Genomic DNA, 23767 nt, shown 5'->3' with positions numbered 1-23767 from the left:
ATCTGAAAAATATGGGATCATGTACAGGAACCACGTGTAGGACTCATTGACATCCCTCAGACAGGAGAGAGAATAAGCAGCTTGAAAAACATATTTGATAATATTGTTCAGGAAAATGTCCTTAATTTCACTAGAAAGGGTGACATGCAAATTCAAGAAATACAGAGGACCCCAACTAGGTACTATACAAGACAACAATCCCCAAGACATCAGATTAGCCAGGGTCAATGCAAAATAAATAATCTTAAAGGCAGCTAAAGAGAAGAGAAGAGTCAGATCATATATAGAGTGATGTCTATCAGGATAGAAGCAGACATCTCGGCAGAAACTTTACCTCTAATGTCTAGTAAGACATTAGAGGCCTATTTTCAGTGTTGTTAAGAAAAGAAATTCGAACCAAGAATTTCATTTTCTGCAAAACCAGGCTTCATATCTGAAAGATAAATAAAATACTTCTTAGACACGCAAACACAGAGGAAATTCATTTCAACTAGACCAGTTTTACCTAAGACCTCTACCTAGGATCTCTCCTTTAAGAAGTCCTTAAGGGAATGCTAAACATGGAATCAAAAGAATAATATCTACAACCACAAAAACACACTTACACACATACCCCACAGACACTATAAAGCAACTACACAAGCCTCCATAACAATGAGCTAAAAACACAATGACAGGATCAAAATCTCACATGTCAATACTAACTCTGAATGTAAATCGCCTAAATGCTCCACTAACAAAACAGATTGACAAGCCGGATAAAAAGAGAAGACCCAACAACCATCTGGTATCTTCAAGAGACCCATCTCACATGTAACAACATCCACAGGCTCAAAGTAAAGTGATGGAGAAAGATTTACCATGCCAACAGAAAGGAAAAAGTGGCAGCAGTATCAAATAAAACAAACTTTAAACCAGTAACAATTAAGATGAACAAAGCAGGATATTATATAATGATAAAGGATACAATCCAACATCAAGACTTAACTAACCTAAGTATATATGCACCCAATAATGGAGCACCCAGATTCATAAAACAAATTCTTCTTGACCAGAAAAGACTTAGACAGTCACACAATATAGTGGAAGACTTCAGCACTCCACCTACAGTGTTAGACAAATCAGCAAGGCAGATAACTAACAACAAAACTCTTAAACTTGACACTTACCCAGTTGGACCTGATAGACATCTACAGATCACTTCATCCAACAATCACAGAATATACATTCTTCTCATCTGCAAATGGAACATATTCTAATATCAACCACATTCTCAGTCATAAAGCAAGTCTCAATAAATTCAAATACACTGAAATTATACCAAGCACACTCTTGGACTACAGTTCAACGGAAACAGAAATCAATATCAAGAACATTTATCAAACTACTTAAAAACATGGAAATTAAATAACTTGCTCCTGAATAACTTTTGGGGGAACACTGAAATTGAGCAGAAATCAGAAAATTATTTGAAATGAATAAAAATAGGAATGCAACTTAACAAAATTTTGGGGATGCAGCTAAAGCAGTGTTAAGAGGAAAATTTGTAGCACTAAACACCTTCATCAAAAAGTTAGAAAGATCTCAAATTAACAATCCAATATTGCACCTAAAGGAACTAGAAAAAAAAACCCAAAGCTAGCAGAAGAAAAGAAATAACTAAAATTAGAGATGATCTGAATGAATTTCAGATGCAAAAATCCATACACAACATGAATGAAACCAAGAAACATACTTTCTTCAAAAGAATAAACTAGATTAATAGACTGCTAGCTAGATTAACAAAGAAAAATAAGAGAGAAGATCCATTAAGTACAATCAGAAATGGCAAAGATGACATTACAACTGATACAAAAGTTCCTCAGAGACTACTCTGAACAACTCTATGCACAGAAATTCAAAAACCTAGAGGGAATGGATGAATTCCTTGAAACACACAATATCCCAAGATTGGATCAGGAAGACATTGAAACACTGAATACAGCAATATTGAGTTCTGAAATTGAATCAGTGATTAAAAAACCCACTAACCAAAAAAAGACCTGGGACATTTGGAATCACAGATGAATTCTACCTGACATACAAAGAAGGCCTGGTACACATTCTACTGAAACTACTCCAAAACATTGAGAAAGAGAGGCTCCTACTCAACTCATTCTTTGAAGCCAGCATCATCCTGATAGCAAAATCTGGCAAAGACACAATAAGAAAAGAAAACTTCAGGCCAATATCCCTGATGAATATAGACACAAAAATCCTCCACAAAATACTGGCAAACCAAATCCAGCAGCACATCAAAAACTTAATAAAGCACAATCAAATAGGCTTTATTCCTGGGATACAAGGCAAGTTCCACATACACAAATCAATAAATCTGACTCACCATATGAACAGAATTAAAAGCAAAAATCATATGATCATCTCAATAGACATAGAAAAACCTTTTGATAAAGTCCACCATCCGTTTATGATTATTAAAAAACCCTAAACAAAGTAGGCATTGAAGAAACATATCTTGAAATAATGAGTCGTCTATAGCATACCCATAGCCACCATTACACTAAATGAGCAAAATCTGGAAACATTCCCCTTGAGAACTGGAACAAAACAAGGATGCCCACTCTCACCATTCTGATTCAACATAGTACTGGAAGTACTACCAAGAAAAATCAGGCAAAAGAAAGATATAAAAAGCATCCAATTAGGAAAGAAGAAGTCAAACTATCTCTCTTCATGAATGATATAATTTTATACCTAGAAGACCCAAGAGACTTCGCCAAAAGCCTCCTAGAACTTATATACAACTTTAGTAAAATTTCAGGATACAAAATCAATGTACATAACATCCAGGCTAAGAGTCAAATCAAGGACACAATCCTATTTACAATAGCCACAAAGAAAATTAAATACATAGGAATAGAACTAACAAAGTAGGTGAAAGATCTCTACAAGCCACTGTTGAAAGAAATCAGAGATGAAGTGAACAAATGAAAAAAAATTTCATGTTCATGAATTGAATGAATCAATACCATTAAAATGGCCATACTACCCAGAGCAGTTTATAGATTCAATGCTATTTCTTTCAAACTACCAATGTCATTCTTCACAGAATTAGAAAGAAACTATTCTAAAATTCATATGACTCCAAACAGAGCCCAAATACCCAAAGCAATCCTAAGCAAAAGGAACCAAGCTGGAGGTGTCACAGTACCCAACTTCAAACTATACTATGCAGCTACAGTAACCAAAACAGCATGATAGTGGTACAAAAACAGACACATAGGCCAATGAAACAGGAAAAAAAAAAAACCTCACAAATAAAGCTATACACCCACACCCATCTGATCTTCAACAAGGCCTAAACAGAAACAAACAATAGGGAAAGAACACCCTATTCTATAAATGGCACTGAGATAACTGGCTAGCCATATGCCAAAGATTGAAACTGGACAACTACCTTTCACCATATACAGAAATTAACTAAAGATGAAAGATAAATTTAGATGTAAGACCATAAACTATAAAAATCCTAGAAGAAAACCTAGGAAGTATCCTTCGTGACATTGGCCTTGGGAAAGAATTTTTGGCTAAATCTCCAAAAGCAATTGCAACAACACCAAAAATTTACAAGTGGGACTTAATTAAAGAACCTCTGCACAGCAAAATTAATAACAAAATAACCTACAAAATGGAAGAAGATATTTACAAACTTTATATTTGACCAAGGTTTAATATCCAGAATCTGTAAGGATCTTAAACAAATCAAAAGCAAAAAAAAAAAAAAAATCTTATTAAAAAATGGGGCAAGTTGCGGTGGCTCACGCCTGTAATCCCAGCACTTTGAGAGGCTGAGGCGAGTGGATCACAAGGTCAGGAGTTCAAGACCAGCCTGGTCAATATGGTAAAACACTGTCTCTACTAAAAATACAAAAATTAGCCAGGCGTGGTGGTGGGCACCTGTAGTCCCAGCTACTTGGGAGGCTGAGGCAGAAGAATCACTTGAACCCAGGATGCAGAGGTTGCAGTGAGCCAAGATTGTGCCACTGCACCCCAGCTGGGTGACAGAGCAAAACTCCATCTCAAAAACCAAACAAACAAAAAAAACAAAATGAAAAGAAACAAAAAATGGGCAAAGGACATGAACAGACACTTTTCAAAAGAAGACCTACAAGAAGCCAAGAAACATGAAAAAATGCCCAACATGACTAATCACCAGAGAAATGCAAATCAAAACCACAATGAAATACTATCTCATGCCGGTGAGCGTGGTTAATCTTAAAAAGTCAAAAAAACAACAGTTGCTGGAGATGCTGCAGAGAAAAGCCAATGCTTACACAGTGTTGCTGAGAATGTAAATTAGTCCAGCCACTGTAAAAAGCAGTGCAAGGATGTCTCAAATAATTTAGAACTACTATTCGACTCAGCAATCCCATTACTGGGTATGTATTCAAAGGAAAATAAATCATTGTACCCCAAAAATTCATGCACTTGTGTTTTCATGGCAGTGTTGTTCACAAGAGCAAAGATGTGGAATCAATCTAGGTGCCCAATAATGTTGGATTGGATAAAGAAAATGTGATACATATATACCATGAAATACTACACAGTCATGAAAAATAATTAAATCATGTCCTTTTCAGCAACACTGATGCAGCTAGTGGCCATCATTTTAAACAAACTAATGCAGGAACAGAAAACCAAATACCACATGTTCTCACTTATAAGTGGGAGCTAAACATTGAGCACACATGGACATAAACATGGGAATAAGACACTGATGACTCCTGGGGAGAGAGGGAGGTAGAGGTCTGTGGGTTGAAACACTACCTATTGGGTGCTACATGGGTATTGGGATCTGCACCCCAAACCTGAACATCATACAATATACCCATGTAACAAACCTGAACTTGTACCCCCTGTATCTAAAATAAAAGTTGAAAATAAAAGAGAAAGGGTGGTACATATGCATAATAGAATATGATCCAGCCACAGAAAACAATGAGATCCTGTCATTTGCAACAACGTGGATGGAAGTGGAGTACACTGTGTTAAGTGAAATAAGCCAGGCACACAAAGGTAATCTTTGCATGTTATCACTCATATGTGGAAGTTAAAAATTAAAACAATTGAACTCATGGAGATAGAGAGTAGAATGATGATTACCAGAAGCAGGAAATGCTAGTGGGCTGAAGTGGAGAGAAGCAGGAATAGTTAATGGATGTATTCATCTGTTCTCACATTGCTATAAGTTCCCAGTAAGTTCCTCATTTCCATCTGAGACTTCATCAGCCTGGCCATCTCTGTCCATATCACTGTCAGCATTTTGGTCACAACTATTGAACAAGTGTCTAGGAAGTTCCAAACTTTTCCTCATCTTCCTATCTTCTTCTGAGCCTTCCACACTCTTCCAATCTCTGCCTGATACCCAGCTCCAAAGTCACTTCCATATTTTCAAGTATCTTTATAACAATACCCTGCCCCTAGTACCAATTTTCTGTATTAGTCCGTTCTTGCATTGCTGTAAAGAAATGCAAGGTTTGATTGTTTCATGCTGTATGTTTCCTTAGGCAGTGCAGAAATCATGATGGCTTCTGGGGAGGCCTCAGGAAATTTTCAATCACGGTGGAAGGCAAAGGAGTAGCATGCATGTCTTACCTGGCTGGAGAAGGAGGAAGAGTCGAGAGCAGGGAGATGCTACACACTTTTAACCTATCAGATCTTGTGAGAGCTCTATCATGAGAATAGTGCTAGGGGGATGGTGGTAAACCCTTAGAAACTGCCCCCATAATCCAATTACCTCCCACCAGGCTCCACCTCCAGCACTGGGGATTACATTTAAACATGAGATTTGGGTGGGGACACAGATTCAAACAATACCAATGGCTATAAATATATAGTTAAAACAAAAAAGTAATATCTAGTATTTAATAATACAGTGGGGTGACTATAGTCAACAATAATTTATTGTACCTTTAAAAATAACTAGAAGAGTATAATTGGAATGATTGTAACACAAATAATAAAGGCTTGAGGTGATGGGTATCCCATTTATCCTGATGTTATTACACATTGCATGCCTGTAACAAAATATCTCATATACCAATACATATATGCACTTCTATGTACACATAAAAATAAATTTAAAAGTATATACATGATTTTTTCAGGATATAAACAACGTTGCATAATTTTCAACTTAATTCATGAGACAAGTATAACCAATAACAGAACCTGATGAGGACATTACAAGAAAGAAAAACATAGACCAATCTGTCTCATAATATGAAGCGAAAAATCCAAAAGACGATACTGAGGAGCTAAATCTAGAAACATTTTTTAAAAACATGTTTAAAAATACTATTTTATTTTCTATTGCTATCCATAATGATGTGGATTAATCTCACAAATGTATTGAGAAAAAGAGGACATAAAATTAAATAATACATACTGTGTAGTTTATGTATGATATAAACACAGAGAAAGCCTATCTGTGGCTTTTAATGTCAGATTTTTTATAACCACTATGAAGAAGTAGAAAATAATGATTGAAAGAAATCACAAAGGGACTTTTAGAAATATGGTAAATTTTGTTACTGGCCTGGGGTAGTGGTTACATAAATGTGAACAATGCTATGCTATATTACACATTACTTAAAATACTTTAAAAATTAAATTAAGAAATATAAGTACTGTTTGCCTAGAAAACCTGGCAAGCATTTACTTCCATTGAAGAGAAAGTGAGTCAAATGTTATATGACATTGCTGCGAGGTAGTGCATTAAGACAAATGTTTTTTGAGAAAAAAATCAGTTCAGGAATATATTGAAGTGATGGATTTAAATAAGTTGTTCTTAAGATGATGTTCTAGTATCCCCCCAAAAAAATGTTCCTTAGGCTGTTGGAGATTGGCACCAAAATAAGAACTTAAACATGCTTTTTATAGGTGGCATGTGAAAAAGTATATAAGTAAAAGCTGAGAAAGTATACTTTTGAATCCTTCCTCTAGGGCAGAAAAGGAAAGCAAGTCAGCAAAGGAACCATTTCTTGAAATCAAATTAAAAGTAAAACAACTATAATTTATTACTCTTTACTTAAACTCTAAGTTGCTAACCAACTAATGAAGTTTGGGTTGAGAGTTTCTCAGTGGAATGTGGGCTGTGTACATTGGAAGATATCAAATGACATGAGTCCTGTGTTCTGCTTGCCCAGTGACTGGTCCTGGCAGTGAGTAGCATGGATTTTAGAGAAAAAATACAGATTATTTGTCATCCCAGAAGACTTCTTGGAAGACTAAGGAATTATTTGAAAGGAGTACTATTAAATATATAAGAAGAATTCTAAGATCATGCAGATGATGTTCTGCTAAATTTTGTTTGTGGGGCAGTAAGTGGTACAATCATACTAGTGAACATAGTTCATATTAAGAACAGTGGGAAATTAAGTTTGCAAAAGACTATTAAAAATAGATGCTGGAATATTCTAGTTTTAGCAGTTCTCTGTCTTGCCAGCCTCATGTATTATTTTAGTAAAAATATCAATTGCTTATTGAATGGTGGGCACAGTGGAACCCACTTTTGCAAAAGTGTCTTTTTTTAACATAAAGCAGAATTATTAATTCTTTTTATCACTTTCCTTCCATATATCATACTGGATATTACTTATTTTCTCACTAGACTCTCATAGATCTTGTCTGTCTTCAGGGTACAGTGGGGAAAGATGGTGTGGAAGAAAATAAAAGAAAATAACAACCTTTCTTTATAAGTTTCATGCTCCCAGGACTAAAATCTCCTCTCTGTAGAAAGTCTGCTTTCATGGAGGGGGATTAGAGCAAACCTTTCATCTTCCAGAGCTCCATGGGCTGCATCCCCTGCTTTCAGGGTCTTAATGTTATTGGCATCTGTTGTGTTCTGGTCACTGGTTATATTTGTCCAAATATCCACCTAGAATCAGTAGTTTTTCAAGGGATTTTAAAAATTTCTTCTCAACTGTCTCCACCTACCAATTTTTTTTAAAAGATCACTTATCAAGATTATTTTAAAACTCTGTCTCATTTTTCTAAATATTATCTCTGGACCTCTAGCTGAAAGATCAGAGTACAAAAAGGCCTTCATGATTGTCTTCACATTTTCTCCCAGCTTCTTTGAACACCCTCCTTGTATGAATAGGATTGACGTTTATCTAAAATCACTGCAACAGAGGGATGCTGAAAAGCTTTCTAAATTTAGATACCTTTGTTTGTTTATTTTATTTGGCAAATAAAAGAAGAGAAGAAATGGAAAGATCATCCTTATTTGCTAACACCCACAATAGTCATTTTGTTTCTCAAAAGTGGAGGTCTATTTAATAACGTTTTCTGTGGAGTGACTCTACAGCCCTGCTATCATTGCAGAAGTCTGATGTATATGACACTTAACTCCAAATTTGAGATCAAATATATTAAAAGTTTAAACTGTAGCCCTCTCAATAAACATGTTGAACTAATCCACACTGCAGTGGCCTCTCTTTTTCTCAAAAAAGCAAAATGTGAGTATAGACACCAAACGTAAGTCAGTTTTTCATCTTTGAGCTCATTCTCATTGTTTAATACAATCAATAGTGATTCTGAGGGATAGCATACCCATTAAATTGCTGATGATACCATTTTCTGGACAGGTGAAATGTAGTAGATAATATTTCAACAACGATAACAAAAAATGTTACAATGAAATTAAATTCAGTAAAATGAAGATAAGTTTTTTAAATGTAAGTATTATTTAATGGTATAAGTTTAAGTCAATGCTCTCAAAGAGAAGAAAACCAATAATGGGAACCAGTAGATACCACAAGCATGCTGCATGGCAAGATCGACGTGAGTATTTGTTTTTCCTTTTTTTCATTTATTCACTCATTCAATGTATGTAGCTAGGAAAGATCATTAAATTGAAGCTTGTTTTACCAAAATACCAGGGTTTGGTCTAGGTACTGCTGCTCCCTGCACAGAAAGCCAATGACTGAGACAGGTGCTGCAGCTGAGGAGATGGGAGCTCAGCCTCAAATCCATCTCTCTGACTGACTAAAACTAGGGGTTTATATAGCATGGAAGAAATGTAACAATGTGTAAGAAAACAAAAGCTGGGGGACTGGGGGAAAGGAGGGATCTGGTGCTCTGATCTTGTGCAACTCAGTAGTTGGCCAATCATTCAGAGTTATTTTTCACCATTTTAAAGCATTTTATTTTAAACTCAAAGCAATCTGGGAAAACGGAAAGGTATTAAGAATCATCACTGTTTCTGGCTTGAGTTACTGTAATCACTTACTAACATACTCAGGACAGAGTAATACATTTAAATACCCACTCCTGGACATGCTGTGCTATTTGAGAATATTCAATAGACCATCAGTCTAAAGCCCCTGTGCATCCTTCTGTGAAAATACTGCACAGTAATTATCTTGTCACATGTCTTTCCTTACCATGAACCTCTTGAGGGAGATTATCTAACCAGCATATTGCTGGCATCTACCTCCATGTCTGACACATGGTAGTTGCTCAAACTTAATAATAAATTTAAAGATGATTAACATTTGACTTAGAGAAATTGATTTAATACCTTTAACATTTTTTTCCAAACTATAACTGCACAACTCAGATTGTTGATAACCAAACTTTGATCCCTGGATCAGCAGCATCGGCATTACCTGGGAACTTGCTAAGAAAAGCAAGTACTTGGGCCTTATACTAGACCTACTGGTTCAGAAACTCTGGGGGAGTGCCCAGTGACCTGTGTTTTAATAAGCCCTCCAAGTGATTCTGATGCCCACTGAGGTTCCAGACCACTCTTTATACAATAGATGTCTCTGTACGGAATGAGTTGGTTTTACAACATAATTGGGCCACAGATATAAAACTGCAGCATATTACTGATAAGATAACAACTTGTTTTTCATTATTCTTCAAGGTATGGGTATGGTTTACACTTCTGCTGGTGCTAACTGGGATGTTTTCTGTGGATTCCATAAGAAATATTTTTTATATGTATGTTTTAAATTTGCAAGTTCACTTAATGTAACTTTGCAAGTTGACTTAATTTATTTGCCCACTTCCATTATTCTTTATAAGACATCAGGCTGAGTTCAACAACTGATAAAGATTCAGAAGCCAGAAACTTAACTCAGTACTTTATCGACTTATCTATGCAAATGATGGAGAAATTTGTTATAGAACAGTTTTAGAGCTATTAATTAGCAACAACATTCAGATAAAGAATGAGAAATGACAATTATGAACTCAGGAAATAGAAGAAAACACAGTCTGCTTTATTGATTCAGGCATTTCTTTGCCATCCGGATCAGTGGGTCAGGCGTAACATAAATTATAACAATAATTTTATTTTTCCATAACTGGTTATCAGTATTTATGGGTTTCAATTGCTTCCTTTGTTTGTTTTCTTATTCACAAATTTGTTCTGGCTTCTTGTCCTCTTGTTTAGAAAGGTAAATGCATTAAGAGCAAATTGACAGAACAGTGTCACATTGAATACAGTGGTCACTATCCTGTTACTAATTCCTGTTTCACAACGATCAATTAGATAATTTTACACTGGAAAGCCTTTTCAAAATATAATCAATAAACTGTTTTAGGCTTCTGTCGCTACTGAAAAATATAAATCAAACCAAACCAAACAAGAACAGAAACAGAAGCCTTTATTCTCCATGTCAGTATATACTTATTTAAAATATATCAAACTATGTTGCTCTCAATTAGATTTTCTTTCTTGCTCAAATAATAAGGAATTATAAGATATAGTCACTCGCAAATCATCTGGATAGACTCAAAGCATCTTGGAATGGAAAATATTATACATTTTTTCTTTGTTTCTTCTATATTTTCTTCATGAGTTATTTGAAATCCAGAGACAGTAAGTGACTTTTCTGAGGATAGTTAGTTTGTGACAGAATCTTAAGTAGAAAACAAGTGTATTTACTTAAGTTTAGTGCTGGTAAAGGGAATATTTATTAACTTGAATATATATATGTATATAAATATATGCTTAATTTATATAAACATCTAGGTAACATTTAAGACACTGTAGATAACAGAGGAAAATTGGGAAGTCATTTTTAAATGTTGGATAATTTGATAATTTTTATAAGTATTTCTAAGGTTTTAGTTATATTTCCAATTTTCTATTTTTTTTAAATCTATATTAGAGGTGAAAGTTAAGAAGACCAAAAAGGAAGAAATAGCTCAGAATATGATGTTTCACTTCTGTTTGTAGTAATGAGTCAGTTAATTAAATATGGTAACAGACTTTCAAAAAGGAAAATAGTGATCTACTCAAATATTCTTTATATTTAGAAAGGTTATATTATTCCTTCAAAAATATGTATAAAATCCTAAGAAGTTCCAAGTACTATTTGTGGTGGTGAAGATATAGAAGCCAATAAAACAGAGACAAATTCCTGCCCCAAGGAAACTTGGAGTCTAGTGGAGGAAGCAGGATAACAGACAAAGGCATCGGGAGGATGCATAGTGTATAACACGGTAATAGATAGAAAAATTAAGACAGAATAATAATAATAGGAAGAACAGGAATAATATAGGATATATTTGAAATAAAATGGCCAAGATGATACTTGGAAAACACCTAAAATAATTATGAGAGCAAACAACATGTATTTCTGGGATAAACGTGTATTACAAAGAAAAGCAAGCACAAAGGCCCTCGAGCAGGAGTAGGCCTGGAGAGTTCAAGGGGCAGAAAGGAGGCTAATGTATTAATAGGAAAAGAAACCAAATGGAAATTCTGAAGTTCCAATATATAATGACTGAAACAATAACTGCACTAGAGGAATTAATGATAGATTCGAAGTGAAAAGTTAAAAAAATCAGCAAACTTGATTATAGATCAACAAAATTCATGCAATCTAAAAAACAGTGTAAAATGAATAAAAAATAAATAAACAGTGCCTCAAACAAATATGGAATACCATTAAGTACATTAATGTACATATGAAAGGATTACTAGAAAAAAAAGAAAAGAAACATGAAGAAAGAAGGCCAGAGAAATAATGCTTGAAAACTTTCCAAATTTGCTGAGAAACATTATGTAAATGTTATACTGTAAATATACTCAAAAAGCTCAACGAAATTAAGGTAGATTAAAATCAAAGATTAATTCTCAGAATATCACAGTACAATTGTTTTATGCCAAAGACAAAGAAAATTTCAAAAGAACAAGAGTAAAATGACTCACTGTGTACAAGAGAACCACAATAAGACTAACAACTAACTTCTCATGAAAAACAAAGCAGATCAGAATGCAGAGAGCTAATACAATCAAAATCCTGACACAAACAACAAAAAAGTCCATCAATCTCATGTTCATCAAATCTGCATTTCAAAATTAAAGAGAAAATAAATTACCAGATAAATAAGAAGTGCGGGAAGTTGTTGTTCATAACCAGTGCAGAGGAAGCCAGAGGGAGAGATGAGAGATTCAATCCATTACTGCCTTTCACATATTCCCCTTCTTGAATTTCCTATTTCCCATTGATAAGGTAGACAGGAACACCTCAAAAGGTATAAAGTACTTTGGAGAGCAGGCATGGTTTCAGGAAGTTTCCCATATTCACCAGACTCTCAGAGTTGGCCTAGAAAATCCCCTAGGGTTATTTGCTATCTAAGCCACATCATTTTGCTCCTACCAAATGCTATTCCAGAGTAGAATTTCTGGACCAGTTTTCAGAATTCCATTTCAGAATGCCAGATATCACCAAAGATACAGTCAGTGGATCAAGAGTAGATAGCCTCCTTAGATAAGCTGGCTGCTGACTATATTAAAAAAAAAAAAAAAAAAAGACTTGGCTGCAAAGTCTGTCTTGTTTTACAGTTGAATCTGGAATGAAACCTCAGAGGATTTAAAACTGGATAAAATGCAGAAAATTAAAATGTTATTTGAGATTTGGCAAAAATGTTGGAACTTTTATATTATTTCAAATTTTTCTTCTATGAATATAAATATTGTTGAGAAGTTCACTGTAAAACAATTATATACTCTTTCAAGTATTTTGAGAAAGAGTTGACCAGCTAAACAGTAGATTTTCTTTTTCATGTCATATACTTTATATCATTATTTTTAGTAAAGAATTTTTAAAGATCTATTTCAACATGTCTAATGTTACTTCTCTCTTTGATTGCTATTTTTGAAGACTAGAGTAATAGAAAAATTAAAAATTACTATATTTTTATTTCACTGCACCCTCTCAAAATGCTTTCGTAGATGGTAAAATTAACTGACACCTCCCACATGGAGATCACAGAACATAAGGTGAAATTTCTGGAAACCACCTAGGTTTTTTCTCACCTTTATCCTAACTTAAATCTAGTTGTTTATTTGTTTGAGTGTGATGAGTTCTCAGGGCGTTAGTTCTACAAATGATTAGAAGCTTTTGGATAAGGTTCCTACAGTCTAATTACACTTTCACCTTACAACCTTGGGAAAGTAATTTAACCTCTTTATGTAGTAGTCTTATAATAATTAAAATGGGTTATAACTATCAAGTTCTTTGGATTAATACAAAATATATAATGATACTGTATGCCTCAATAGTATATGATAAAGATTAAATGAAAGAACTATGTATAAATAATCACCACAATGATGGTTTTATATAATTATTTGTAGTCAGGAATTTTTTAAGACCTATTTCAACATGTTTAATTTTATGAGTGCCTTCATTTGATGAGCATTCAGTAATTGCTAGCTGTGATAATTAACAAATGTCTTGCTTGCTAAACACTGAGTTTGCTTTAACACATTAGACATCTTTATTTTAATTATTGAACATATTCAAATATTTTTCAGAAATATGACACTCATTTTATGTTCTTCTCCATTTACACAATATAAATTGTGCTTACAACATATTGGCACCTGAACTACACCTTAAATTTTCTGCAAAGAAAACTTTGGCCAAAGAGGGACAGTATCTCAACCTCATTAGAAGTTGTGTTTTGCTTTCATGCTGGGCCAAACTTCACACTTCAGCAATGTCAAGGTTTTTACTTTTCCCTATAAATTATTGGTAATATTAATAACAACAATATTATACTATTTAATATGAATTAAGAGTTTTCAGGGCACTTTCACATATATGATTTTATTTGATTTTTACAGGAACTCTGTTGTATTAGTGCATTCTCACACTGCTATAAAGAAACACCTGAAACTGGGTAATTTATAAAGAAAAAGGTTTAGTTGGTTCATGGTTCTGCAGGCTGCAAAGGAAGCATAGTGGTTTCTGCTTCTAGGGAGGCCTCAGGAAGCTTCCAACCATTGTGAGCGAGTCATCTCACATGGCAGGAGCAGGAGCAAGGAGTGGGGAGGTGTTAAACACTTTTAAAAGACCAGATGTCACGAGAACTCACTCACTAGCACAAGGACAGTGCCAAACGGATGCTGTTAAACCATTAATGAGAAATCTGCCTCCATGATCCAATCACCTCCCACCAGGCCCCACCTCCAAAATCAGGGATTACAATTTGACATGAGATTTGGGCAGGGACAGAGATCCAAGCCATGTCACCTATCATTCTCAGTATTCAAGTACTTTCAGTTTCTCAATGGTTAGGTGAGTAGCCCAAATTTGAGCAGGTAATAACCAGCAGCTCTATCATGGAAGCCCCTATCTTCTGATTCCTCATCTAAGTTTCTTTCTACCCTGCCACATTACTTCTACTTCCCATGTGAAAGAAATTCTTTGGCATCATGTAAGGACAGGCACAACAGACTTCATATTCTGGGTGGTAAGAAATCTGAGGGAGATACATCTTAACAAAACTGCAAACTTTATTAGTCTTCTTCAAATGATACCTGTAGTTTTATACTGATATTCTCTGATTGTCTTTGAATTGATGGAAAGATACTAAGAATATATTAGATTAAATTGCTGGAGTCAATCTGTTAAAATCAAAACGTTTCTAATATTTATTTGAAAAAATATACACATAAGTATGTATATATCTTCATTTTTACATAAAAATATATTGTATATACATAAGTATGTATGTATCTTTATGTTTACATAAAATATATTGACAGAAAGAATAAATTTTGCATATCTTTGGGTATTCATAAAGGATTTTTCAACTTTTATTGATTTTACTATAGTTATAAGTAAAGAAAGTTGGGACTTAAAATTTTCAATACATATTTTCATTACAAAAATATGTTCAGAAATATTTACTTAGGTTAATGGATTATCTTAAACAAGGCAATGAGTGCATATATGTGTCAGTGTGTGTATGTGTGTTCATCTGTGTACATAGCCACATATTTGCTAGAAACATGTGGATGAGAAATAAATAAGCTAATTGCAAGGGGGTATTTAAAGAAATTTAGCATTATTAGTCCAAGGAGAGAGGCGACACGTGCGCACCAGCAATTTCTTAGGGGACACAAAGTTCTTGGAAGTAGACGAAGGAAAGAAGATATTTCTTTTGTTAGTTTAGAGGAGGTAGAAAAGCAAAACGAACAATCAAAGAAAAAACATTTAAAAAAAGAGGAAAGAGGAGAGGAGGAGAGGGGGAAGATTTAGTTTAAAGCAGTGAGTTCAGACTGTTCTTTCCCCTTCCCTCCTGTAAGTATTGCAAGCAGATGGCTACTCCTGTAATTTAGTCCTTGCTTGCTCTGATACAGAAGGTTTAGGAGTTTTCCCCCTCCTGTAGATCTCTTTGCTAAAATTATAGTCTCTTTAAAACAAAAAGACCAGTTTTAGGTGTGCATTTGTGAATCATGTAAGATAACATTTTCTAATTTACATTTAAAAACTGGCAGTGAAAATGCAAATAGGAAAGGTAGATGAAATACTACTGTTCAGATTTAATCTTACGTGACATATCAGCAACTCATTGACTGGTTCAATCACAAGTTAGCCTACTGAAATTTTTAATTACAATAACTTTTAATGAAAGAACATCATTGGAGCTTGGATGCATTCCATCAATGAGAAAGGAATGGAAGAAATATAAATACTATGTAGGCTATGTAAATTTTTCATTTTTAATATGCTTATATGTTTGCATGAATCACAATGCATGTATCTGTAAATTGACCTAAAATAGGGCAGAGCTGTTCAATAAACCAATTATTTAAGCAGAAAAGCTTTAAAGATACTCATCAACAAAAACTCCATCAAATAACCCTTGAAAGAATAAACTGCATAATGAGAATTAAAAGTTCCAACAATACCCATTAGGGTATTCTACTGCACCATCGATTCCACTAGTATCAATTGCTTTCAGTTAGCTGAACCTTTGAGTGCTTATTGGAAAGGACTAATAAACCACAATCAATTTTCTTTTTAACGTCACAAGGGTAGCTCGAATGAACTAAATGCTCTTCCCCTGTTTTCCATTTCAGACATGTAAGTAGCAGGAAAATCTTAAACATGGCCTTTTATAAGTCCTTTCTCCCATAAATAAAAACAAGAAAAATGTATGAATCTATTCTGTCTGTGATGAAAATATTAGCACTTTTCTCATGCTTTATATCATTATTGTACCTATTAAATTTTACAGATGTGCTTCTCTTTGTTTCGGGTTCAAAGAAGCAAAAGCATGAGACCGCTAAACAAATTTGGTGCTACCCATTAACTAATTCAATTTGCCTCAGTTTTATTGAGGTAACAACCTGTACATTTTTAAAAAAATAGATAGGTATACATATAAATAGACAAACAAATAGATAAATGGCTTATATGTCCAACATCAATGCTTTCAGGTATTTGACAATTGCAGAGCAAGATAGATTTAAACTGATAATTCCTTAGTGTTTGTGAAATGAAGTTGTGTTACCATGTCAAGGGACAGAACGTTTGCCTCTGTACTAAAGATACAATTAAAATTTGCTCATAAAATATAATAAATCATTAGACTTAAAATTACTAGAAGTATATAGATACTATGATTATTGATGTTTGCATTCTGATTTTTACTCCTAATTTGCTCTAAAATAATAGCATAACTTTCAAATATTAAACACAATGCTTAAAACAAACGCTTAGAAAATTCTGAAATTATATAGAATGGAATTAATGAAACATTTTTATTTTGTCTTGAATGATTTAAATTGTTATAAGAATGTAGCTACTAATAAAAATCCAGTTATTTTCTGCTGAAGATCAAGTGATGAAATTTTGTTAAATGTGAGGTTGAGATGTTCCAAATTTACCTGAAAATCTTTCTATGAAAGGCAGTTTTGAAGTACATTATTTTATATTGTATAACATTATTTTTATATTGTGTATATAAAGTAAAAAGACTATTATTAATGTTAAAATAGAAAAATAATGACTTATAGCCATCAGTGTTTCAGCCAAAATCTCAGTTGTCAGCCTATAATACTTCTGTAAAAGAAGATATCAGATTTGTACATCATTGTTAAGATTTGGGCCCATTGATTTTTATTCAGAACTATCTGAGTTTAGAAATTTCATCTTTCCCTAAATATATACCTCATGAATTTCCTGTAATCTTGAGATAAATTTGAGTTGCTCACTAATATGTCAAATTCTTATGCATGAATACAAAATTTTGTTTCCCTGGAGCCTAGAATGTGTTTGTTGCATAGAAAATTCCTGTTGATTGCTGTTGGCTTGGACTCTTTTTTTTCCTTCAACTTTTATTTTAAGTTTTGGGGTAAATGTGCAGGATATGCAGGTGTGTTACATAGGTAAACGTGTGCCATGGCAGTTTGCTGCAAAGATCATCCCATCACCTAGGTATAAAGCCCAGCATCCATTAGCTATTCTTCCTGATGGTATCCCTTCCCCCACCCCCACTGACAGGCCGCAGTGTGTGTTCCCTGCAATATGTCCATGTGTTCTCATTGTTCAGCTCCCACTTATAAGTGAGAACATGCGGTGTTTTGTTTCCTGTTCCTGCATTAGTTTGCTGGGGATGACGGCTTTCAGCTCCTCCTATGTCCCTGCAAAGGACATGATCTCATGCCTTTTTATGGCTGCATAGTCTTCCATGGTGTATATGTACCACATTTTCTTTTTCCAGTCTATCCTGGATGGGCATTTGGGTTGATTTCATGTCTTTGGTATTGTGAATAATGCTGCAGTGAACATACATGTGCCTGTATCTTCATAATAGAATGTTTTATATTCCTTTGGGTATATACCTAGTAACGAGATTGATGGATCTAATGGTCTTTCTGCCTCCAGATATTTAAGGAATCACCACATTGTCTTCCCCAACGGTTGAACTGGTTTACACTTCCATCAACAGCGTAAAAGCATTCTTTTTTCTCTGCAGCTCGCCAGCATCTGTCATTTCTGGACTTTTTAATAATCATTGATCATTTTAGAATTTTGGGGGAGTGTGTGGTTTGCAATTGTACATTTAAAATAATATGCAACAAATTGTGATGAGATATAACCTAACAAATCATAACACAGGGTGATTTTCAATTTGTGAAATCTCCGTAGGACACATTCAGTAGTGCGCTAGTGATTTTTAACAACTGGCTCCCCTGCCTATCTGTTCTCTCAGACCGCCTGCTTTAGTGCTCGAGGTCCTGACCTGCTGATTATTTGTACGGCAATAAATATATAGCAGTTGAGAAGTGTACCATCAAATGTAGATTTCAATGTGAATGCATATTTAACATGCCATCCATGCATGATTATGTGAGCTGTGCTCTCTTAAACTAATTATCTCAGAGAATTAAGATGAATTTTTATAATAATTTCTGAAATATAATCACAAGAAACTGATATAATTTACCAAATATGTTAACAACTAACTCCAAAGAAAACTTTCAAGGACATTAAACACACAGGACACGGTTTACCACTGAGAATTTACTCATTGAAATTGAGAAACTTCATCCACTTTCCATAAATAAATATCACTGTGGTGACAGACAGAAAAGTAAATTTCTATCCATACTGAATAATAAGTCTTTAGGAAAACTGTCATTTGATAAAATAAGCCGCTCATTTAAAGTGAACATAGTCTATGAACTGGTAATTTTTGAAAAGTTGTCAACAATTTTTTCAAAGATTAATTTATCAGTTTTTGGTTCTCTCTAAAGCTTCCTTCTTTTCCTCAGCTACACAGACCGCTTCTGCCTGTAGGGAAAAATATTAAAATGGCTACAGCAACTTGAGCTTTTCACGGAATGGCCACTATAATGAATGAATGAATGTCCATGGTTAGCCCCTCTCCCAGCGTACCTGCAGGGAGACTGAATCATAGCTGTGATAAGGTAATGAATCTACTTTACATTGTTTCAGGCCCTGCCCTGCAGATGCTCCCTTTTAGTCTGTGGAGGCTGGAAACTCATGAACCACTGTAGCATAAGATAATTTTGCTGAGTCTGTGTTGAGGGAGGGGCAGATGCTAATGGTAGCTAAGGGTTCATTTACTATGTCTAAATGAAAGGAAAATAGAGTTGAATATTTAATGTACCCTCAAAGTCCATTTGACTGAAACTTGCATTCAGATAAGCTATTTAATCATTGTGTGCATGTGTGCACTGTGTGCATGTGTTTGTAGGCATTTTAGAAAACTACAAATTCTCAAAACAAATATCTCCTGACAATTACCTCTGCTCCTCTGCTTGTTTACCTTGGTTCCCCATCTTACACACAATAGACTCATGAACATTTTCCCGGACTATTATTTGGAGTGGAAAATTAAAATCATACATTTTCTCCCATATTATTACCAGGTCAGTAATACCTTTGGTCTTAAAAACTATCTCAGAGGAAGTGTCAGAACTATTAGTTTGGAAGCTAATACAGTATTCAGCATGTGAATTTTTGAAGGCAAAGGGTCTTGATGCAATTTGCATCTTCGAGCAAGGAGTGGTTGACTTTTCTCCATCTCCTCTTTGTGCCCAAATGTAAGTAAATTAACAAAGTATCAACACTACAAGCCATTCATGATGGTTTTATAAAACATATATATTTTATATTGAATGAATTTGATATACCACACACAATATGCAAACACAAAATTTACCCATAAATGTTTTGAAATATATTTTTATCCATACCACAAGTATGTAACATCTATCAGCTATGAGACCAGGTATAGACCATAATGTTGCTCAAAAGACTCATAACACAGTCCGGGGCAGGACGATATGTGTAAAAGAGCAATAGATACTACATGTGCTAGCAGAGGTTTTCTAAAAATATTTGGGACAGTCAGAAGTGATGGTCAGAGATCTCACAGATGAGGTGGTATTAGATCTGAGGTTTTAAAGGGTACCTAGTAGACCTCCAAGCTGTCAAATAAAGGAAGAGTAGCATATTCAAGCCACATTTAGAAACTGTAATTAGTTAGCTGTCATTAAGGGTTGAGATTGACTGGGGACAATCTGGAAAGAAAAGATTCAATATGATCTGCATTTTGGACTTAATACTGGGTCACTGGAGAACGAGAAAGGGTTTTTAATGGGGAAATTTATGTAATTAGTCACTTTTTAAAATAAATGTATTTTGACAACAGGAGAAATAAGAGTCTAAAGGCAGAAAAAGTAGATAGGAAGCTATTTTGATAGCCCAGAAGGGAGATGAAGTCCATGGAGGTAAACAGTCTAGTGCAAGAGGTAAACATATTGAAGACTATGAAAGGAAGTATGAGACTATAGCAAATGTAAGCTTGCTTTCACTACCAAGGACAAATTGAAAACACTCAACACAAACACACACAGGCACACACAGAAGTACATATACATAAAATCAATGTGCCAAAGAGAAAATGAAAAACTTTGGAAATTTGGGCAACAAATTGGTACTAGCTTCATTTTATCCCCTTTATTATAAGGATTTTATTCTGAAAGTTGATTTAAGCATATAACAAATATTGATTATAAGTTATCTGTGTGCAAATGTCCATTCTAGGTGCTGAGATTTAGAAACTTAGAGACAAATTCCCTGCCAATATGGAATTTGTATACTAGTAGAATGTCATTGACATTGCTTCACTTTAAGCCTAAAAGATAAATCAATGGAAGAAATTTAATTTAGAAGACTTAGCTCAGTAATAACAAATAGGATCTGCTTCTATGGGACTTTTTCCTGAGAGAGTGATGATTTCTTAGTAATTATCAATAAAAAGCACCCTGAAATTTATTGTTTTACAGAAAATACCTACAGAAGTAAAAACTCTTAAAAAATTAGATGCAATAAAAACAGAAATAATAATGCCATAGTATTATTGTATAACTCAAAACCATCTTTGAAAAGTTGACTTAGAAAAGATAATTATAATAGAAATTGGACTTTTTTTTTCATAATTTGGGTTAAAGGCCATCTAGAAAAAGAATCTGAAATTACTGGTTCTATCATAAATATTCTAATTAGGAACAATTAAATTCAATAATTAAATTACATTAAATTCTAATCTCCCATACTACATAATTAAAATATGTGTAAAGCTATATAAATATGTACATATAATGTTACTAGATATATTTATGTACACACATATATATATATCACTTCTGTTTCCTGATTCTAGAAGCTTTCTGTCAGTTTTCTTGTTTCCAAGTACATCAAATACAAAAGCAAAAAAAAAAAAAACATCATTTTTACAGACCTCAGGCCAGTGACCCAGGTGAAAAGAGAAATGAAACAAAGCTTTCTTGATGGAAGAATAAGAGCTTTCTCATCATTCTTGACCAAGCTTTGAGCCATGTATAAAAAGTAATTTATTTTCGGAGAAAAAAAACAACAAAATTACTCGCTGGTGAAAATACAATTGGAGAACTAGAATTTGGGGAGACAGACACCCAGATATATCTTCTCTTGAATCATTACACACATGATATCTAGATGCTAAGAAATTGAAAGGAAATTTTAAAAAAGGTATATAGAATTCCCAGAAATGCCCTTATTTCTCAGTTGTTTTCACTAGTGAAATATATCTTTTTAAACCAGTTAGTGGAGAATTTTATATGCCCTTGTAGTTAAGTGAGAGTTTTTTTACAACAAACTGTCAATTAGTACTGCTCTAGACACACCAAGTGGCCAATATCTCTCACCCTGTTTGCTGTATTTACTACCTAAATGTTTAAATCTTGAATACTTAATGGATTTGTTCATAGTTCTTTACTCACTTCCTTGTCCTCTATTCAGCATGTTCCAAGTCTGCTCCTGTTCTCCAAATATTATCTACGTGTCTGGCACTTCTGTTCCCATATATCCAGATGAGTTAACTGCCAAATACCTAATCTAGAATTTACTCATGTCAAAATGGAGGAACCCTGCACTGACCTCCCAGGGGACCAGATGGTGCAGGCAAATGTCACAATAGCAGATGTCACAATTAGATGTCACAATAGTACTTAAGTTAAAACAATATTGAAATGGTAGTGTGCAAATATTTTATACATATTCATTTAATTAAATAAAACATTGTGTAATTGGTACACAAGGAAGTTTTTACAAAGTGCAGATATATAATGGATAATGAGGTCACACTTTTAAAATAAAAAGGATCCTATTTATGTACATCTAGCTTCTTCCTCAGTCTCTCCTGATTTTAATGTTCAAATAAGTTTCCCCAAGTGAGTTTCAAAGTGAAACAAGAAGAATGAGCACAGACGTGCGCCATTGAATAGATTTTCGGATTAGTTTTGGATGAATGCTTTTTAACGTGAATACTATATTTAGGTGCTCAGTACAAAAGGTCATTCCATAAGCACTCCCTAATAGAGTAATTTGTGTTACTTTTAGAGAATTCAGAATGCTCTTACCATCTCAAACGACTGAATTCTGCCTGGCAATTCTACTATTAGACAAAAGATAATTATATGCTTCTCATTACATCTTCAAGAGGCTCACCACAGCCATGTTTTGTTCAATTTTATTTAAGGCCTGCATAGTTTAAAAGTAACCATTTATTATAATTTTAGTTAACATTTACTTAAAATCTTGTGGATTTTTTTATAATTCATACAAGGACAATAATAATAACTAATAAGAAACAGGAATTAGCATAAGCATTTTTATTTTTAAAAACATTTTGCTTTTAAAACTAACAAAGGAAAGACTAGTGACAACACGAGCTTTGAAAAAAATTTTATAAGGATCAATCAAAGAAGAATAATGTTAGCAAGAGTTTTTGAATTATAAATTATAGCACTTGAGTTTGTTTCATAAAAGTAATTAACAGACTAATATGACACCATGTCATTTAAATCTTGCATCTGAGATTGCTTCCCATGTGATTTTAAAGAGGCTGGAGTAAACAAACAGGCAAAAACTTGAAGTGTTTTTTAAGCCAAAGAAGAAAATTTTAAAAAGGAATCTTCTTAAATCCTTAAGAAAAGGACTGCAGAATTTGTAGACTGTAATAAATCTACAATTCACATACACCATGGCTTTTTCAAGTTTTACTGGGTGATCTTCCTGACTGAGTTAATGTGCAGTCATAGACACGAGCTGTTTTTGGATAGATGGTGTTTGTTATTCATGTGTGTGTTCTCCTCATTGTTTAACAAAGAACATTACAGATAGTAAATAGTCAATGAATTTCTGTTTGATCAAATTATGAATAAAAACATTTTACCTATTGTTAAATTCTGATCAAATCACAAATAGATTTTTTTTCCCAACAAATGTACAGTTGTGGTATTGACCAGTGAACTCTTAACTCTATAAATGTAAGGGCTTCACACTATTACTGTGTGTGTGTGTGTATATACAATAATATATAAATATGCAATTAAATAATTAAATTTATTTGTTACATTTTACAAAGCTCA

The 23767-nt window shown here is 33.9% G+C and overlaps 1 long non-coding RNA gene across 3 annotated transcripts in view; it reads right to left on the bottom strand.

The window, feature by feature from the left end:
• Positions 1 to 22283, bottom strand: part of LOC101927518 (uncharacterized) — a 78207-nt gene extending 55924 nt beyond the window's left edge. For all 3 annotated transcript variants that reach the window (XR_941027.4, XR_941026.3, XR_245083.4), the window contains exon 1: positions 22118 to 22283. This is a non-coding gene — a long non-coding RNA (uncharacterized LOC101927518). The remainder of the gene's footprint in view (positions 1 to 22117) is intronic.
• Between the last annotated feature and the right edge of the window lie 1484 nt (positions 22284 to 23767).

The sequence above is a fragment of the Homo sapiens genome, chromosome 3, assembly GCF_000001405.40.
Source record: "Homo sapiens chromosome 3, GRCh38.p14 Primary Assembly".
NCBI classification, from domain to species: Eukaryota; Metazoa; Chordata; class Mammalia; order Primates; family Hominidae; genus Homo; species Homo sapiens.
Note: the sequence above shows the minus strand (reverse complement) of the source record. Positions and strands in the feature narration are given on the sequence as shown.